Consider the following 18,381-nt stretch of genomic DNA (forward strand, 5'->3'; position numbering starts at 1 on the left):
GATCAGAGCTTTCAAGTCAGGTTGATAAAACCTCACATGATAAGGAGGTAGGCTTCATAGGACCACCAAGACTAGAGCAACATCCCCACCTCCACTGGAGGGGCCCTCAAGAGTGAGCCACTAGAAGATGCAGGCAAGGCTAATTTGGGCTGACTACTTGGCTTCTAAGTTCTACCCTGCACTCTGACCCTCTGTGTCCACCACTCCCACCAACATCCTTTATCCCTCCATGTTTCTCTCTAACTATTCCAGCCCTGCTATCCCCTGATGAGCTTATCTCCTTTTTCAGGGTACCTCTGGGACCATCTTCTCCTCTAGCATGCAACCTGTGCATGAAAGACCAGAGAGCAAAGAAGAGAAGAAGTGGCCTGTGGTAGGAAGCAGTGGGAAGGCAGGAAAGCTGAGAGAGTGCTCATGACTGGGATATAACCCCAAGTGCTAAAAATCAGACAGAAAAGGCAGTGCTAATCTTTACATTCCACCAAAGTAGAATGTGTAAAACCTGCTGGGAATCCTTAGTTAGCACTATCCATGAAACCTTTCCAAACATGCGTTTGCTTCAGACTTGAAAATGAGGCCAGTCTCCATAACCAGTTTTTCTTTTTTTTTTATTTTTTCCCCTTGAGCTTTGAAAGTTAATGAATCTCCATCCTTCTTAGAAGGGAACACAGTGACAACACCACCATCCTGGAGACTATCCTGTTTGCTCAACCTCAGTTTCCCCAACATGGGGAGAAAAGAAGCAGATCTAGCTCTGCCTCTGGGCCATAGTAAAGGACTACCTCAGTCAGATGCATTCAGCCAGCCCAGAGACCAAGCTGATGACACATGTAGGCCCTTAAAGTTTCCCTGAGAGCCCCCAGGGTTGGCATCAATTTCATTTTAACACCCTAGCTCCTCCACGATCACTCTGCCTGTGTCAGCTTTGATTCATGGGCCTATTTTCCACTAGACGGTAAGTCATCTTCCTGGCATCCAAACAGCTGGGGTTGGAGTAGGGAAAGAACTAGGTAGGCATTTGCTTTGCAACACATCTGTCCTTAGGGGGCAGCCAACAAGGAGTTGATTGTGCCCACCATTCTTCACCCAAACTCCTTTCACAATGGCAAGGAATTGCGGGGAGGAGCTGTGGCCCAGACCCAGAAGGAAATTAAATGGCCTCAAAATAGGTCAAACATGCCTTTGGCCCAAACCCACAAAAGGAAAAACCAGAAGACAGCATGCTTGCCTTCCAGTTACAAAACAAATGTAAAAAAAATCAAGCATTCTCAAGTGCATGAGCAATATGCAATTAGAAAATATAATGAAAATACCATCCCATTAGTAATATCAATAAAACATACAATGATAGGACTAAAGTTAGTAAGAAACGTGCAGGATCTATCAATAGAAAATTATGCTCTAGCTCTATTAAAGGAAACAAACAAACAAAAAGGAATAAATGAAAGTAAAAATGTAGTACTTTACAACATATCTCCCCAAGGTAACCTCTACATTTAACAGCATTCCAAACTAAAAAACCCAAGGGCATAATTGATTCTCAAATTTATCTAGAAGAATAAACGTAGAATAGCCAAGAAAAATACTGATAAAGAAGAACAAAAAAAGAGAACGTGCACTGCCAGATACGAAAATGTATTATAAAGCTACAATAATTTTAAAAATGATGTTCAGGTACCAGAATAGATCAATCAGTGGAACATAATATAAAGCCAAGAAACAATTGCAGGTGTTGAACAAAGGCTTTATTAACAGGACCAGTGCGTATATAAAATGTAATATTATAGATACATGTAGAATGTTAAGTGACATTTTGTATTAAAACAAAAAGAATGGACTGTCCAACAATGATACTGGAATAACAAGTTAACTAAAATTTTAAAACACTAGGCCTATAATACACAAAAATAAATTATAGATGGTTAAGAGACCTAAATGTTAAATAAAACACTAGGACATTTAGGTAGATGTTTATGTCACACAGGAGGAATAGAAGAGTCTTTCTAAGAATGAATCAAGAAGTAGACCAAAAAGAAATACTGATAATGTTTACCATATTAAAAAATATAAATCCTCTGTATTAAAGAATGTCATAAACTGGGCACGGTGGCTCACACCTGTAATCCCAGCACTTTGGGAGGCCGAGGTGGGCGGATCACTTGAGGTCAGGAGTCCAAGACCAGCCTGGCCAACATAGTGAAACCCCGTTTCTACTAAAAATACAAAAATTAGCTGGGTATGTGGCGTACGCCTGTAATCCCAGCTACTCGGGAGGCTGAGGCAGGAAAATCGCTCGAACCCAGGAGGCAGAGGTCACAGTGAGCCGAGATTGCACTACTGCACTTCAGCCTGGGTGACAGAGCGAGACTCTGTCTCCAAAAAAGAATGGCACAAAACTACTAAAGGCAAACAATAAGCTGAAAAACTCTATACAGCATTTATCAAAATAAAGATTAATACCCTAGATATATAAGGAACCTTGTAACAATATGAAAAAGATAAATACCTCAACAGAAAAATGGGCAAAGACATAAAAGAAACATAAGATGCTAATAAGCTTATTAAAATGTTAACCTAAATCATAATCAAAGTAAATTAAAATGAAATAACGTTTTGCATATCAGATATGTAAAAGTGAAAAGAACATTGGTGAGTGTGTGCAGAAATTAGTAGTCACATACTGGTAGTGAAGCATAAATTGACACAATCTTTCTGAACTTGGCAATAAGTATCAAAAGCCTTATAACATACATATCTTTAGTCTCTTTAGTTCCATCTGGGAATGCATCCTAAAGAAGTAAGAATATGCAAAAAAAAAAAAAAAAAAAAGCCCTTTATCTGGAAGTGCAACTGGCATAATAAAAAATTAAAAATAAACTAAATTTCTAATAATAAATAATTGATAAAATAAATTATGGTTGTATTTATATAATGAAATACCATGTGACCTTTAAAAATGATAGCATAAAAACACAGCTGTTATCACAGAAAGATGTTCCTTCCTTATATCCTCATATACTTTTTTTTTGAGACGAGGTCTCACTCCGTTGCCTGGGCTGGAGTACAGTGGCACGATCACAGCTCACTGCAGCTCAGCTGCACCTCTTGGGCTCAGGTGATCCTCCCACCTCAGCCTCCCAAGTAGCCGGGACTACAGGCATGTGCCTACACCCCTGGCTAATTTTTGTGTTTTTTGTAGAGATGGGGTTTCTCCATGTTGCCCACACTGGTCTCAAACTCCTGAGCTCAAACAATCCTCCTGCCTCTGCCTCCCAAAATGCTAGGATTACAGGTGTGAGCCACCGCGTCTTGCTAATGTTCCTCATATACTTGTATTTTATTTTGGCTTAAGCAGCAAGTATTTATTTATCACAATTCTGGAAGCCAAAAGTTCAAGATAAAGATTCTGACAGATTCAGTGTCTGGTGAGGGCCCATTTCCTGGTTCGTAGACAGCTGTCGTGATTGCCCTCACAACGCGGCCTCACATACTTTTAAATGAAACATGGGGCAGGTTATGAAAGAGTAGGTATAGTATGATCCCATTTTTAAAAGAGTTTTTCTACACAGTGACAGTTCTGGAAGAATTTACTCCAGAATCTTTAGTTTTGTTGCTGGGTAGTGAGATTATGAGTGTTCTTATTTTCTTCTTTTTGATTACCCATATCGTCTAACTGTTCAAAATTCAATAGTTCTTGTGTAATTTAAAAATGTTTTTTAAAAGCAAAACTAGGAGCCACTTACAATTCCTACATACCCAGTCCTCCCTGGCCCTTTTTGCTCTGGAGATAAAAATGTTTCATTCAGGTAAAATAATCCAATAGCTTAGAAATATATACTCCCCAACCCCAAATAGTTTCATTCCAATTCCTCACTAGGGTTTTCCTCCTCACCGAGAAAATGAAAAACTACCACAAAAGGCTATGATGTGACAAGGATCCAAGATTTCCCCCTTTTCCTCTTCCCCTCCCTCCATTCTCAAGGGGAGTACCTCTGTCCTTGGCAAAATGGGGAAGGGCTATGCCTTGGAGGCAGCAGGGTACCCCAAAAGGCACAAGCCACACCAGTCACTTTGAGCCAGGGGAAGGGGAGAAGGCTGTGGTCTGGCAAACAGGGGAGCTTGGGCTAAGTTGACAACACGTGATTGTGAGGATGATGAGCTGCCACCTAGACCATCGAACAGCAAGGTGTCAGGTAAGACATGAGGCAATCGCACACTCAACCAGTCATAATTTTTTAAAAAATATAATTTACCAATAGTTTTTTTTCTACCAGTGAGAGCCTACATCATTAAAAATGTAAGATTCCAGCCTCCTCTTCCTCCTTGGCTGTTACCAGCCCCTATTTCTCTTCTCCCCGTAGATCAGAGGCCTCAGAAATGGCCTGGTCCTCCACCCAGCCTCGGGACCAACTGTTCTCAGCACCAAGGTTGAGGACAGCAACTCTGCAACGTGGCACATGCCTATGGGGTGCTCCTACCTTTAGGGGGCCTCTGCTTCTGGTCCACAGCTTTAGACTACTTCCTTTCTAAACCCAGAGGGGGACAGGCCCACAGAATGGCTGCTTAGATGCAGTAAATGTTCTCTGGATGTGGAAAACCCATTTCCTGGTCTGTATGTAGGCCATGCGCCCCCTGTGTGGGCTAGCAGCCAATGTGCCTCTGGAGAAGAGGTTTCTTGAATGCTGATACACAAGCGCCTCATATGTGTGTCGTACATGTCTACTTGTCATGTGTACTACATGTGCACGAATGTGCAGGCCACCCCCAATAATATCGCGATGTCCCTGTACCTCTCCATTCTTACATATCTTGGAATCACTCAGCCAATTCTAATCGCAGTCAGCAAAGGACTTAGAATCAAAATCAAGTCCAGCTTCTCTGGTGCAGTGCTTTCTGGTGAAAAGGGAAAAAAAAGACTGGGTCTAAACACCTTTCCCAGCACTTCATGGTCAGACCCTTTTGCCTGTTCTGCATGCCCCAGGGCCTCCGAGGCACAGACAGCAGCCTCCTGCTACAGGAACCGGCCCCGCAGTGTGGCCAGTCTGACCTAGTCTGCCACCCTTACCCCAGTCCTACTTTCAAGGAAGGAGTAGCCTCAGTACCCCTCCCTGAGCTTGGTGTCCAGGACCCCAGCCTGACTGGTATGTGGAGAGCCAGAGAGGGCAGACACAAAGCCAGGTGCCAGGTCTGGGATGAGCCCTGCAGGAGTAACCCTATGGGCAGTCCTGCTCACTTCCTTAGACAAGAGAGGAGGCCCTCCAGAGCCCTAGGGCCATCTGGGGAATATCAGATAGCAGCAAGGCAGGCTGGCTGGGGCAGCTGGGCTGGGCTGAGACTGTCTTGCCAAGGCCACAGGCTTCCTTTGCAGATGGTAGTGAAGGAAATAGTTGGTGAAGCTCAATAGATCACCTCCCCTACCTCTGCCTCAGTCCACCAGAAGAAAACTGTCTGTATCCTGGGGCTGAACATGCTTTTCAGCAATTGGTGCTTTCTAGATACTTGGGACTCCAATAGGGTAATAGAATAAAAGAAAATATAACTTTTAGAGCTGGAATTAAAATTAAAAATAATACATTATTCCAACAAGTCCTAAAAATGCTAACATTTATTAAGCATTTATTGTGGGCTCAACTAAGCATTTTACCTAAATTATTACATTTAATCTAAGAACAACTCCATGAGGTAGCTAACCTTATACTTTCCTTATGTTATAGATGTTGAAAAGGTGACACAGAGAGGCTGAGAGACTTGTCCAAGGTCACCAACTTGTAAGAGGCAGGCTGGGTCTATGTGACTCTCAAGTCCACACCCTTCAGTACTCTGGGACACTCTCGACAATCCTGCTTTGGAATTCCTGACAAGTCAGGGTTGTCAGAGCCTCCCACCACTTTAAATGAGGAGACAAATTCTTTGTATAAGGCTTGTGCTCCTCAAAGAATGGGTTTCATTTGTGTTGCAGAAAAAAATATTGCTCACAATGCCTTCCCCAGAGGCTTTATTCCTGAAGTCTTTGAACCAGTTAAAGGTAATAACCTCAAATGCAGAGCCAACAGTCTTAGGGTCTTAACTTGATGGGCAGCCACATGATTCAATCCTATATAATGAGTGATCTATTGCAGTGATTTGCAAAAGAAGCCAGTGAGGCCAAACAGTGGGCTCATTCCCTGAGGTGCCAATGACTCACTGGGCTTGGGGGAAGCAGAACCCACCTCCTCCCCAATTTTCCCACTGGTAGCCCCTAAATCCTCTGGGACAGACTCACTGGGTTTCAGAAAGTCAGAGCCAGAAGAGACCCCAGGGTCATTAATATAATCCTATCAGTTCTCAGAGAGAAAGTTGAGGCTGAAGGAGAAGGTACTAAAACACCACCAGTTTCCTGACAGGTTCTTATCTTTTCCAAAAGCTTAGACCCTAGGGGTAGGACCAGCTGTTAGGTTATTACTTATGTACATAATTCCCTCCTTCTGAGCAGGAGTCAGAGGATGAGAGAGAGGAAGAAAAGCATAAATGGTTAAGAGCACTGCATGGGAGTGAGAGAGCCCATAGTTAAAGTGCTGACATTGCTTCTGCACAGCTCTGTGATCTGCCAAGTTACTTAATCTCTTTGTGTCTTACTTTCCTCTTCAGTAAAATATAGATAATAATGGTGCCAACTTGAAGGACTAGACTAGGAATTAATCAAATGAATGGATCGCCCAGTGCCTGCCTCAATTACAAAGGAATAGTGAGGAAATCTGAATAAAGTATAAACTTTAGTTCATAATACTACATTAATATTGGTTCATTAATTATAACAAAGGTACCACACTAATGTAAGATGTTAATACTATAGAACACTGGGTTGGGATATATGGAACTCTCTGGCTTATCTTCACAATTTTTCTGTAAACCTAAAAGTTCTAAAATAAAAAGTTTATTAAAAAATATAAAAAGAAGTATGGTAGGTAGAAGTTGTCCTTGCTATAGAGGGGAATGATTATGAACCATGTCCCTAAGAATCCAGAAACAGCCAGAAAGAATCAAGTGGCAAGTCAGCCAGCATCAAGCTCTTAATGTTCAATCAACTCAAGTCTGCTCCAAATTCTAACCAGAGGTATCAGTAGACAATGGGATTGGCAGGCGTCAAGGTATGGGTAGGAAGAATCAATATCGTGAAAATGGCCATACTGCCCAAGGTAATTTATAGATTCAATGCCATCCCCATCAAGCTACCAGTGACTTTCTTCACAGAATTGGAAAAAACTACTTTAAAGTTCATATGGAACCAAAAAAGAGCCTGCATTGCCAAGTCAATCCTAAGACAAAAGAACAAAGCTGGAGGCATCACACTACCTGACTTCAAATGATACTACAAGGCTACAGTAACCAAAACAGCATGGTACTGGTACCAAAACAGAGATATAGACCAACGGAACAGAACAGAGCCCTCAGAAATAATGCCGCGTATCTACAACTATCTGATCTTTGACAAACCTGACAAAAACAAGAAATGGGGAAAGGATTCCCTATTTAATAAATGGTGCTGGGAAAACTGGCTAGCCAAATGTAGAAAGCTGAAACTGGATCCCTTCCTTACACCTTACACAAAAATTAATTCAGGATGGATTAAAGACTTAAATGTCAGACCTAAAACCATAAAAACCCTAGAAGAAAACCTAGGCAATACCATTCAGGACATAGACATGGGCAAGGACTTCATGTCTAAAACACCAAAAGCAATGGCAACAAAAGCCAAAATTGACAAATAGGATCTAATTAAACTAAAGAGCTTCTGCACAGCAAAAGAAACTACCATCAGAGGGAACAGGCAACCTACAGAATGGGAGAAAATTTTTGCAATCTACTCATCTGACAAAGGGCTAATATCCAGCATCTACAATGAACTCCAACAAATTTACAAGAAAAAATCAAACAACCCCATCAAAAAGTGGGCAAAAGATATGAACAGACACTTCTCAAAAGAAGACATTTATGCAGCCAAAAGACACATGAAAAAATGCTCATAATCACTGGCCATCAGAGAAATGCAAATCAAAACCACAATGAGATACTATTTCACACCAGTTAGAATGGCGATCATTAAAAAGTCAGGAAACAACAGGTGCTGGAGAGGATGTGGAGAAATAGGAACACTTTTACACTGTTGGTGGGACTGTAAACTAGTTCAACCATTGTGGAAGTCAGTGTGGCGATTCCTCAGGGATCTAGAACTAGAAATACCATTTGACCCCGCCATCCCATTACTGGGTATATACCCAAAGGATTATAAAACATGCTGCTATAACATGCTTGTATATTATAAACATATAAAACATGCTGCTATATTATAAACATGCACATGTATGTTTATTGTGGCACTATTCACAATATTGTGAGACTCTTTTTATATTGCGGCACTATGTTTACTGTGGCACTATCGCAGCCACAATATTGCAGCACTATGTTTATTGCGGCACTATTCACAATAGCAAAGACTTGGAACCAACCCAAATGTCCATCAATGATAGACTGGATTAAGAAAATGTGGCACATATACACCATGGAATACTATGCAGCCATAAAAAATGATGAGTTCATGTCCTTTGTAGGGACATGGATGAAGCTGGAAACCATCATTCTCAGCAAACTATCACAAGGACAAAAAAACCAAACACCGCGTGTTCTCACTCATAGGTGGGAATTGAACAATGAGAATACAAGGACACAGGAAGGGAGCATCACACACCGGGGCCTGTTGTGGGGTGGGGGGAGGGGGGAGGGATAGTATTAGGAGATATACCTAATGTTAAATGAAGAGTTAATAGGTGCAGCACACCAACATGGCACATATACATATGTAACAAACCTGCACATTGTGCACATGTACCCTAAAACTTAAAGTATAATTTAAAAAAAAAGAGAAAGACTACTAAGTCTGAAGTCAGATGGACGCCTACGTTCAAATTCTAAATCTACCACTTCACAACTCTTTGATCACGAGTAGAGCCCCTCACCTCCCTAGAGCTCCTTTTCCTTTTCCTCCTTACCTGCAGACGATTTCTCCCTGGCTAGAGCACAGAGTTGCTATGAGGCCAAAATGAGAGACGTGGTCGGCAGCCTCTAGGTCAGCCTCCCGAAAATCTCCATCTCCTGGGATTCTCGTTCTTGTGTAATCTTCTCCCTTGAGTGTGGGTTGGACTTATTGATGTGCTGCTAACACATAGAATGTGGGGAATGATGGGATGTCATGTTGCAGATTAGGGCATAAAAAGACTGGCTTCCATTTTGGATTGCTTGTCCCTGGGAAGCTAGCTGTCATGTTATAAGGGAGCCCTGTGGAGAGCCTCATGTGAGTGTGCTTGGAAGCAGATCTTCCAAATCCTGCCAACGACACATGAGTGAGCTTCAAAGCTGATCCTGCAACGCTGGCTGAGCCTTAAGATGACCGCAGTCCTGGAGGACAGCTTGACTGCAATGGCATGAGAGACTTTGAACCAGAAGCACCCAGCTAAGTCATACCTGCATTCCTGATACACAGAAACTGTGAGATAACAAATGCTTGTTGCTGTAAGTCTAAATTTTGAAATGATTTTGTATGCAGTAATATATAACTAATATAAGAGGCCATGTGTGAAAATACTCTGTTGGAAACTAAGAAATTTGGTAACACCAGAAACAAAACAAAACAAAACAAAGCAAAACCCTCAGGCCCATCAGATCCCATGGAAGGTCCCTCCAGTTTGTCACATCCCATGCTATTTCTGCTTATCACTGCCTCTTTCTTCCTCTTACTCCCAGGACATCCGGAGGCAGATGGGTTTGGTGATGACAGCCCATGAAATTCTCTCCCCACACTGGAAACAGCTCAGCAGTCCTGGGGGCCAGGGACACACAGGTGAGGCAGCCCAGCTCTCTCCTGACTCTTGAAAACGGAGGGGCCCTGCTTCAGGTGAAGCCAAACATCCAGCCCCAGCTCTTTGGGAGATTTGTCTTTCTAATTCACAGGATGTTCACAGCATCACCAAAAAAAAAAAAAAATCTTCACTGTACCTGGTTTTGTTCCTTCCAAGGCTGTCCTCAGGATATAGAGAACCTCTTGAAGTCAGAGTCCAAGCCTTAGATCCATAGGAATGTGCAGATAAATAAGCTCTGCTCTTAGCCCAAGTCTGCTTTCAGCGTGTACCCTCCAAGACAGACACACCATCCTCATGCCCACCATTCCCCTGGCAGATATCCTTGAAGGCTGGGGGCAGGAAAATACCTTCCAAGAAGAGTCTAAAAGTCACCGACTGCCATTCAACACTTTCAACCCCAATGAGCTCTGTGGGGAAAGGATGGAGAGAATTGTCTGTTCAGACAGAATGGGCTCCACCTGAACACCAGCACTAATCTCTACAATCAGTTGGCTTCAATACAGAATTTTCCACCCAGTTTCCTTCCCTTCCCTGTCTCTTCTTCCTACCACTAATTCTCCCCACAATTTTTTCTGAGCTTGTCAGGCAACTCCCTTTCCCTGGGGAATCTCCCTCCTACTTTCCTGTCCCAAATGGTGAAATCTATGCATCTCTTGACTTGATTACCCCCTACTAGGAGCTTGGTTGTGCAGAGAAGTGGTTTCTGTAAATGTGTCTCAGGGGGCAGGCAGAAGGATGGAGACACTAAGCCTTAGCTCCTGGGGTGCAGCGTGGCTGTGAAGAGTTGGGAAAAGCATCAACAGTGGCAGCAGCTTCCTAAGAAGGACTCCCTGTGGTGTGACTGATACAGAGATGAGGACCCAGAATAGAGCCAGCAGCATCTATGCTGGGCTTGCTGTACACGCTCTGAGGTCAGGCAGACGAGAGCTGTTGCTGAGTGCAGAGCGATTGCTCACACCCAGCACCAGCCTGAGCAAGCTGCTCATTTGGGACTGGGTGCTGCTCCCCTACCACCTGTGCCCCTCCGACATCCCCTTCCTCCAGAGGTGGCTTGGAGCACTGTTCCCACTCCTAGGGTTGGAGTTCACAGGCAGGAAAATGTAGCCCACTCACCCCACATGGCCATGGTGGGAAGGGCCGGCCTCCCAGCAGCCATGGCCCTGGCCTGGGTCTCCCTCATATGGGACTCTTACGGATCCTTAACCCGCCATGCTGGCAGTGTTCAAGTCCTGCCTCTGGAAGGCATTCCCTGTGGCCGTTTCCCTTCTCTTAACACAGGGAAGCTAATCCAGAGAGAGTCCAAGTGGCTGTGCAGAGCCAGGCTGAGGCTCTGGTTCTATCCCAGGCACCAAAGCCCAGGGATTCCCTCAGGAATAGGGGAGTGATCAGGGGACAGGTCCCAGAACTCCTAGAACTCCATCTAGGGTTCCATGGTTCCAGGAGCACCATGAGGAAGACCCAGTTCAGCATTAGAGGCTCCAGGCTGCCAGCAAAAAAAGACTCTTGTCATGCTTTGCATGTCCATTTAGTCTGGCTCTACCAGGCTGTGGGCTTTGTAGACAGAGGCTGGATCCTGTTTAAGGCTGTGCCCCAGCACAGAGCAAGCTCCCAGTATCTGCCCTCCTCCCTGGAGCCTGCTAACCTAGAGGGGATGCTGGAGAGGAGGCATGGGAAGAAAAATGAAGAATGACAGTGGTCTCTAGGGGTGGCGCTGGAGAAAGAAGAGCTTGACAGCAATCTCCAAGGCTGTGCCAGCATAGAGCACGTTTGGAGCAGTACCATTTAGCTCTTAGAAGAGACCTTACATGGTTCAGGGGTTGAGGTGGCCTCACTGAGGGCAGAAAGAAATTAATTTGGTGGAAGTAAACAGCAAAGCATGGCTTCCCACACCTCCTCACTCTAGGGGTTCTTTCTACTCCCTGTTTTCTGTAAAGTGAAGCCTAAACTCCTCTGCCTAGAATTCAAAGCAATCTACAATCTGTCTTCCTCCCCCGATCTGCTCCTGCACTCCCAACCACTCATCCTACAGCTGCCCAGCATGATCCCGGGGCACTCCTGAGCCTCAGCACTGTCCAAGCACATTCCCCTCACTCCTAAAGCTGCTCCTTTCCACCTCCCTGCCCTCTTTACGGTGGATCCAAACCGCCAGGACTGTGTCCTGGCCCCCGTTCTCTGGGAAACCTGTTCTAATCACTTCAGCCCACACCAATCTCTGCCTTTTCTAAACTCCTACAGCACTCTTGGCCTGTACCACGTGACCTGGCACATTTCCAGCAGCTCACATTGTTCATTAGTTAGTTGCTTTTCTTCAAGTCGTAGTCAATTAGAAGGGAAGAGCTATAAGAAAGCCAGCAGAGCGCGTCAGTCCTAGACAGCGAGTTTCCGGTTCTTTGAGAGTTGGAACCATGTTGGAATTGTTCTTCTCTCTCTTCTGCCTCAGGGCAGCTCAGAAAATGCCAGGAATTATTTCTTTACAACTTTCGGGTGTTATCCTCTTCCCATTCCCCCGCAAGGCGCCTTGCTTTCCCCTGGTCCAGTGAGCAGGGGACAGATCTTTTGTGTCGTACTCTTAGCTGGCTGAGGAGTAGTCTTGCCCAGGGGCAGCAGAATGAATGGGGGAAATTTTATGACTTGCCTCCATCAGAAACTGCCTTCATGGGGGTCCATCCCACACTCCTGCAGTTCCTCTCCCCTTGCTGCTTCCCTTTATCAGGCTTTATCAGCCCAGCTCCCAACTCTGCCAGGCCAGGCCCTGATGTCTGGGGGATTAACCTCTCTGACAGCTCAGGACCACAGCTTCTGTTTATAACACTAGGTCTTTGGCTATGGGAGCCTGGGAAGTGTTGCACATTCCTGTGGACAGTGGGGAGTCATTCATAGGATTCTCCTTGATTCTCAGAGTCACTCCCCTGGAGGTGAGCAGATGGCTCAGAGGGACCCCCCTTCCCTTCCTCATTTCCACAGAGCAGGATCCAGCCTATCTGAAGATTTGGAGGAGAAGGTGGCTGTGAGTTTGATTAGCCACTAAAAACTGCCTCCAAGAGAGTGAGTCCCAAGGCACCCAGGGTCACATGAGAAAGGTCTCTGTTTCTGGGGAAGTTTCAGTGCCCTGCGTCTGAGAGTGGTCCTCAGGACACAGCTGGCCCAAGGCAAGGCCCAGCCTAAAGGGAAGGCGGGCCCATCTGGATCTGCTCCTCTTCCAGGGCTTTTCCAGGTCAGAGCTCTACCAAACTCCATGTGCTATTTCTTGGCCTTATTTCTCTTTCAGTCCCTCAGACGCTTCCCTCCATTGCCCCTGGTTCTCCATTGTTTCCTTCCACTCCCAGCAGCCCTCAATCTCGTGATAAAGAGAAGGCAAAAGAACCTTTGCTTATACTGTTATACTTTCACAGACACGCAATTTCATTAAATTTTCACAATATTCCTTTATGTCAGATGGGTTAAGGATTAGTCTCCCTATTTTAATAGGTGGGACTACAGAAGTCCGAGAAATAATGGGACTTGCTCATGCTATTAAGATATATAGGGTATTGACTGGAACTGAGAGTTTCAAACACTTTGACAAGAGCTTGTTTGTTGATCCTTTTAAAAGGATACCTTGCCAAAACTCCCTGCTCTCTCATACTGAAAGCTTTCTTACCATAAATGATTTGTTTTCCTGGCATAGCACAATTCCAAAAGAGAGAAATAGACACTAATTCAACTGCACTACCCTGCGCCAGGATCATAGAAACATTCACCTCCCATTCACAGAAATGTCTCAACTGCAATGGGCATGCAAGAATTTACATTAATAATGAATGAACAGGTATTTGCCATCAGTCTCATCAATGCCTTGTATTTTATATATATTAAAATATTTAATTATATCAGCTTTACATTCTGGCACAGTAATCTCAGTTCTAAGAATTTCTTTTAAGGCAAGAGAGACAAACATAAAGATTTATACACAAGGCTGTTCAACATAGCATTATTTATAATATATGAAATATTTGGAAGCAACTTATAAATGGCCTACACTTGGGAATTTGTTAAATAAATTTTGGTGCCTTCCAGTGATGGAACATCAGCCATTAAAAATGAGATTGCTGAAGAACGACTAATGATATAGATAAATGGTCACTATACAATAGTAGGTAAGAAAAGCAGTATATAAAATTACATGAACATTAAGATCAAGTAAGGAGAAAAAATATATGCATGGAAAAATGACTTGTAAGGAAAATTTCCGAGACTTTATTGTTCCAATTTTAGTATATGTGCTGCCAAAGCGAGCATAATTTCCAAGATTTTATAAGATGTACTTCAGAATGGAGAGGTTGCAAATAATTCTTCCTTTTTTCACATATTTCTGGGTTTTTCATATTCCTACAATGAGCATTTATTAACTTTTAAAATAAGAAAACATAACAAATGCTAATTTTTGTTAAATTCCTTTTTATTTCTCACAACAGCCACTGTCAGTATTTAGGTCAGGGGAAGTTAGCCCATTTTATAGATGGCACAATAAGCACAGAGAAGCTAAGTGACCGCTAAGGTCACAAAGTGATTTAGGATCAACGTAAGAATCAGGGCCCAAGTGTCCTCAGTCCCATTCTAACACCCCTTTTGCTTTGTGATATGGCCTCCACAGATGACTGCTTTTCTATTCCTTATTCATGGTTTACTTTCAGCCCAGATACTTGCATAGCATACCATACTCATGCATATGTTCTTCAACCTTGTCTTCCAGGGTGTGCCCATGCAGATACTGACCTCACTTAGGGCCAAACACCTGGGAAGAGCAGACTTCAGAGTAGGGGATGGGAGATGTAGATGAGTCAAAAAGTATTTCATTTCCTGTAATCCCAGCACTTTGGGAGGCTGAGGTAGATGGATCACTTGAAACCAGGAGTTTGAGACCAGCCTGGCCAACATTGTGAAACCCCGTCTCTACTATAAATATAAAAATTAGCCAGGTGTGGTGGCACACACCTGTAATCCCAGCTACTCGAGAGGCTGAGGCAGGAGAATCACTCGAATCCTGGAGGTGGAGGCTGCAGTGAGCCGAGACTGCACCACTGCACTCTAGCCTGGGTGACAGAGCAAGACTCGGTCTCAAAAAAAAAAAAAAAAAGTATTTCATTTCTATCTCAAGGGCCCAAAAGAGTGCCTGGCCTTTCTCCATGGGCTGTTCTAAGCACTGTACCTAGCACAGCTGGCTTCTGACTTCCTGGGGAAGCCCAACCTTTGCTGCCCCTCCCGAAACAGGAACAGCACCTCCTCTCCTCAGAACCCAAGTCAAACTTCCTAAGGCAGTGATTCAGAACCGTTTGGGGTTATTTAACTTCTGAGAATCTGATGAAAGCTATAGACCTTCCCCATAAAAATGCATGCAGGCTTACATCCACGTATCCCTGTTCATAATTCAAAGAGGTTTACGGACCTTTTGAAGCTAACCATAGGTCCCAGGCTTCCCAATCTCAGGGGACAGCTTGCCCAAGCAGTGTGAAAGCCAAGCCCCCTCTCCTCGAGCTCTATCCAGAGTTGCTTCTTCCCTTGCCCTTTCAGCTTACACCTTTCGCTTCATTGAGCCCTAATCAGCTCCTCTCTGAGAGGTGACTCAGGGCAATTATCCACACTCCCCCCAACTCCCAATGACCCACTGGGAGGAGAGGGGAAGTGACTTTCACAGAGTCATACAGTGAGTCAGTGTGCAAGCCAAGACTAGATAGAATGTGGCATGTGGGGCTCCCAGGGCTATATTTAGGCCACTGGGAAGAGCTGCTTCTCACAGCAGGGTCTGGACATAGGCAGGCTATAAACATAGTCACATGTTTACCCCAGCTCCAGGATTAGCAGAATGAACACAGAATCTGGAGCTTCGTCACTCCAAGCAATCCCTTCTTGCATCTCCAAAATGCTCAGGAGAAACTCCATCTTCATACTGCACAAGAAGAAACTGAGGTAATGGGAAGGAATGAAAAATTCTGAATTTCTGGCGTTAGCCTAACATTTGTCCTTAGGTCCACTGCAAACACAGGCAAAACTTCAGCCTGTCTATGTGTCAGGCGTGGCCCCTGGGATATCCTCCCACACCCCAGGACCTTGCACTAGAGGAAAGGGGCTTTGGCGTAGGTCAGTCAATGATATAAATTGGTGATCAGACTTCTCTTATAAAGCACACATACACACAGTCTTTAAGATATAACTGTGACACAACTGGAGACCCTTACTCAAGACCGGAGAGAAAGAAGCAAAAAGAACCTAGACATAAATGAGAACTATTTTTTAGATGAGCAGGGAGAAATCCGGCAAGTCATATTAATTGGTAACAATAACTCCTACCCACCCTTACTGACCATCTCAACTGCACACCTAAAAGGGCCCCTGGGAATATTTCTGGAGTAAACCAACCTCTGCAGTGATGTTCTGTAAAACATTCTGTATGATGGAAATGTTCCATATCTGGGTTGTCCAATATGGTAGCCACTAGCACATGTGGCTCTTGAGCACTTGAAATGTGATTAGTGGAACTGGAGAATGGAATTTTTCCATCTTATTTATTTTGACTAATTTAAATTCCAATTTAAATTGCTTCCTGTGGCTAGTGGCTACTGTATTGGACAGCACAGCTTTAGAGGCTCTGAGGGGACATAAACTTCGGTAATTAATTAATTCTTTTATATGCTTGCTTAACCTTTCCAAATTGACTCAGAAAAAAATCCCAGGTTTGTTAGAAATCCCCAAAGGCTCTTTAGGGGTTGGAGGCAGCCAGAGTCTGAGTGGAAGACTCTGGTAAGGAAAAAAGGGAAGAGATCTCTTTGATCCATATGCTAAGGAGCCTTTCCTAGGAAAAAGAATATTATGGGCTAGGCACGGTGGCTCACGCCCGTAATCCTAGCACTTTGGGAGGCCGAGGCGGGCAGATTGCCTGAGCTCAGGAGTTCAAGGCCAGCCTGGGCAACACAATGAAAGCCCATCTCTACTAAAATACAAAAAAAAAAAAAATTAGCCGAGCGTGGCGGTGAGCGCCTGTAGTCCCTGATGAGGCAGGAGAATCTCTTGAACCCGGGAGGCGGAAGTTGCAGTGAGCTGAGATCGCGCCACTGCGCTCCAGCCTGGGTGACAGAGCAAGACTCTGTCTCAAAAAAAAAAAAAAAAAAAAAAAAAGGATATTATGCCACCTCACATCCTGACTCATGCTCCAGGAAAGGACCCAAGGCAGGGGTCCAGTGCTCTAAGGATGCCCACTGCAGGAAGCAGGGAAGTAAATGCTCTAACTGGGACGATCCCAGCCAGAGACTGCTGAGTAACCACACATCTGTCCAGGAGAAATTCACTAGACAGATCTACCTATCTTCCACTGCCAATGAGACTGTCCCTGAATACAGAGCTTTGAATGTAGAAAAGGACAGGTGGATGTTGCCTCATACCAGTGGGAGCTAAAGTGGTGCCATCTTTCATTTCAGGAAGCTAACTTGGTAATATGTATCAAAAGCCTTATTAAATGCACATATCCTTTGATATAAGAATTTCATTTCTGCAGGTTGTTTTTTTTTTTTTTTTTTTGAGACGAGAGTCTCACTCTGTTGCCCAGGCTGGAGTGCAGTAGTGCGATCTCGGCTCACTGCAAGCTCCACCTCCCGGGTTCACGCCATCCTCCTGCCTCAGCCTCCCGAGTAGCTGGGACTATAGGCGCACACCGCCATGCCTGGCTAATTTTTTGTATTTTCAGTAGAGATGGGGTTTCACCGTGTTAGACAGGATGGTCTTGATCTCCTGACCTTGTGATCCGCCTGCCTCGGCCTCCCAAAGTGCTGGGATTACAGGCGTGAGCCACCACGCCCAGCCTCTGCAGGTTGATTTTCAGAAACTAATTCAAGATACATATCTATTAGAATGGCCAAAGTCCAGAACATGACAACACCAAATGCTGGTGAGGATGTGGAGCAACAGGAATTCTGGTTCATTGCTGGTGGGAATGCAAAAGGGCACAGCCACTTTGGAAGATAGTTTGACAGTTTCTTACAAAACTAAACATACTCTTACCATATAATCCAGCAATTGAGCTCTCTGGTATTTACCCAAAGGAGTTGAAAACTTACGTCCATACAAAAACATGCACACAGATGTTCATATCATCTTCTATAATTGCCAAAACTTGAAAGCAACCGAGTTGGCCTTCATTAGAGGAATGAATAAACTGTGGTAAACCAGTAAATGAAATATTCAGTGCTAAAAAGAAAAAAGCTATCAAGCCATGAAAAGATCTGGAGGAACCTTAAATCCATATTGCTAAAGGAAAGAAGCCAATTGAAAAGGTTACGTATTATATGATTCCAACTGTATCACATTCTGGAAAAGGCAAAACTATGGAGAGAGTAAAAGGATCAGTAGTTGCCAGAGGTTGGGGCAAGGGAAGGATGAATAGATGGAGCACAGAGGATTTTCAGGGCAGTGAAAATACTATATGATACTATAGCGAATGTATGTCCTTATACACATG

General features: G+C 44.1%; 1 protein-coding gene across 7 annotated transcripts in view, besides 1 other annotated feature; it reads right to left on the reverse strand.

Moving 5' to 3' along the window:
• The window catches only part of NRG2 (neuregulin 2), a 196,519-nt gene that overhangs the window by 123,567 nt on the left and 54,571 nt on the right, over positions 1 to 18,381 (reverse strand). The gene's annotated exons all lie outside the window — the stretch shown is intronic.
• Positions 14,949 to 16,148: an enhancer, noted in NCBI's record as "P300/CBP strongly-dependent group 1 enhancer chr5:139364881-139366080 (GRCh37/hg19 assembly coordinates)". NCBI's record gives its function as "activates an origin of replication core promoter dependent on BRD2, BRD4, P300/CBP, MED14 and CDK7 cofactors, with strong dependence on P300/CBP, by STARR-seq in HCT116 cells {active_cell/tissue: HCT116}" and the evidence as "EXISTENCE:reporter gene assay evidence [ECO:0000049][PMID:35650434]".

Source organism: Homo sapiens, chromosome 5 (assembly GCF_000001405.40).
Source record: "Homo sapiens chromosome 5, GRCh38.p14 Primary Assembly".
Lineage (NCBI taxonomy): Eukaryota > Metazoa > Chordata > Mammalia > Primates > Hominidae > Homo > Homo sapiens.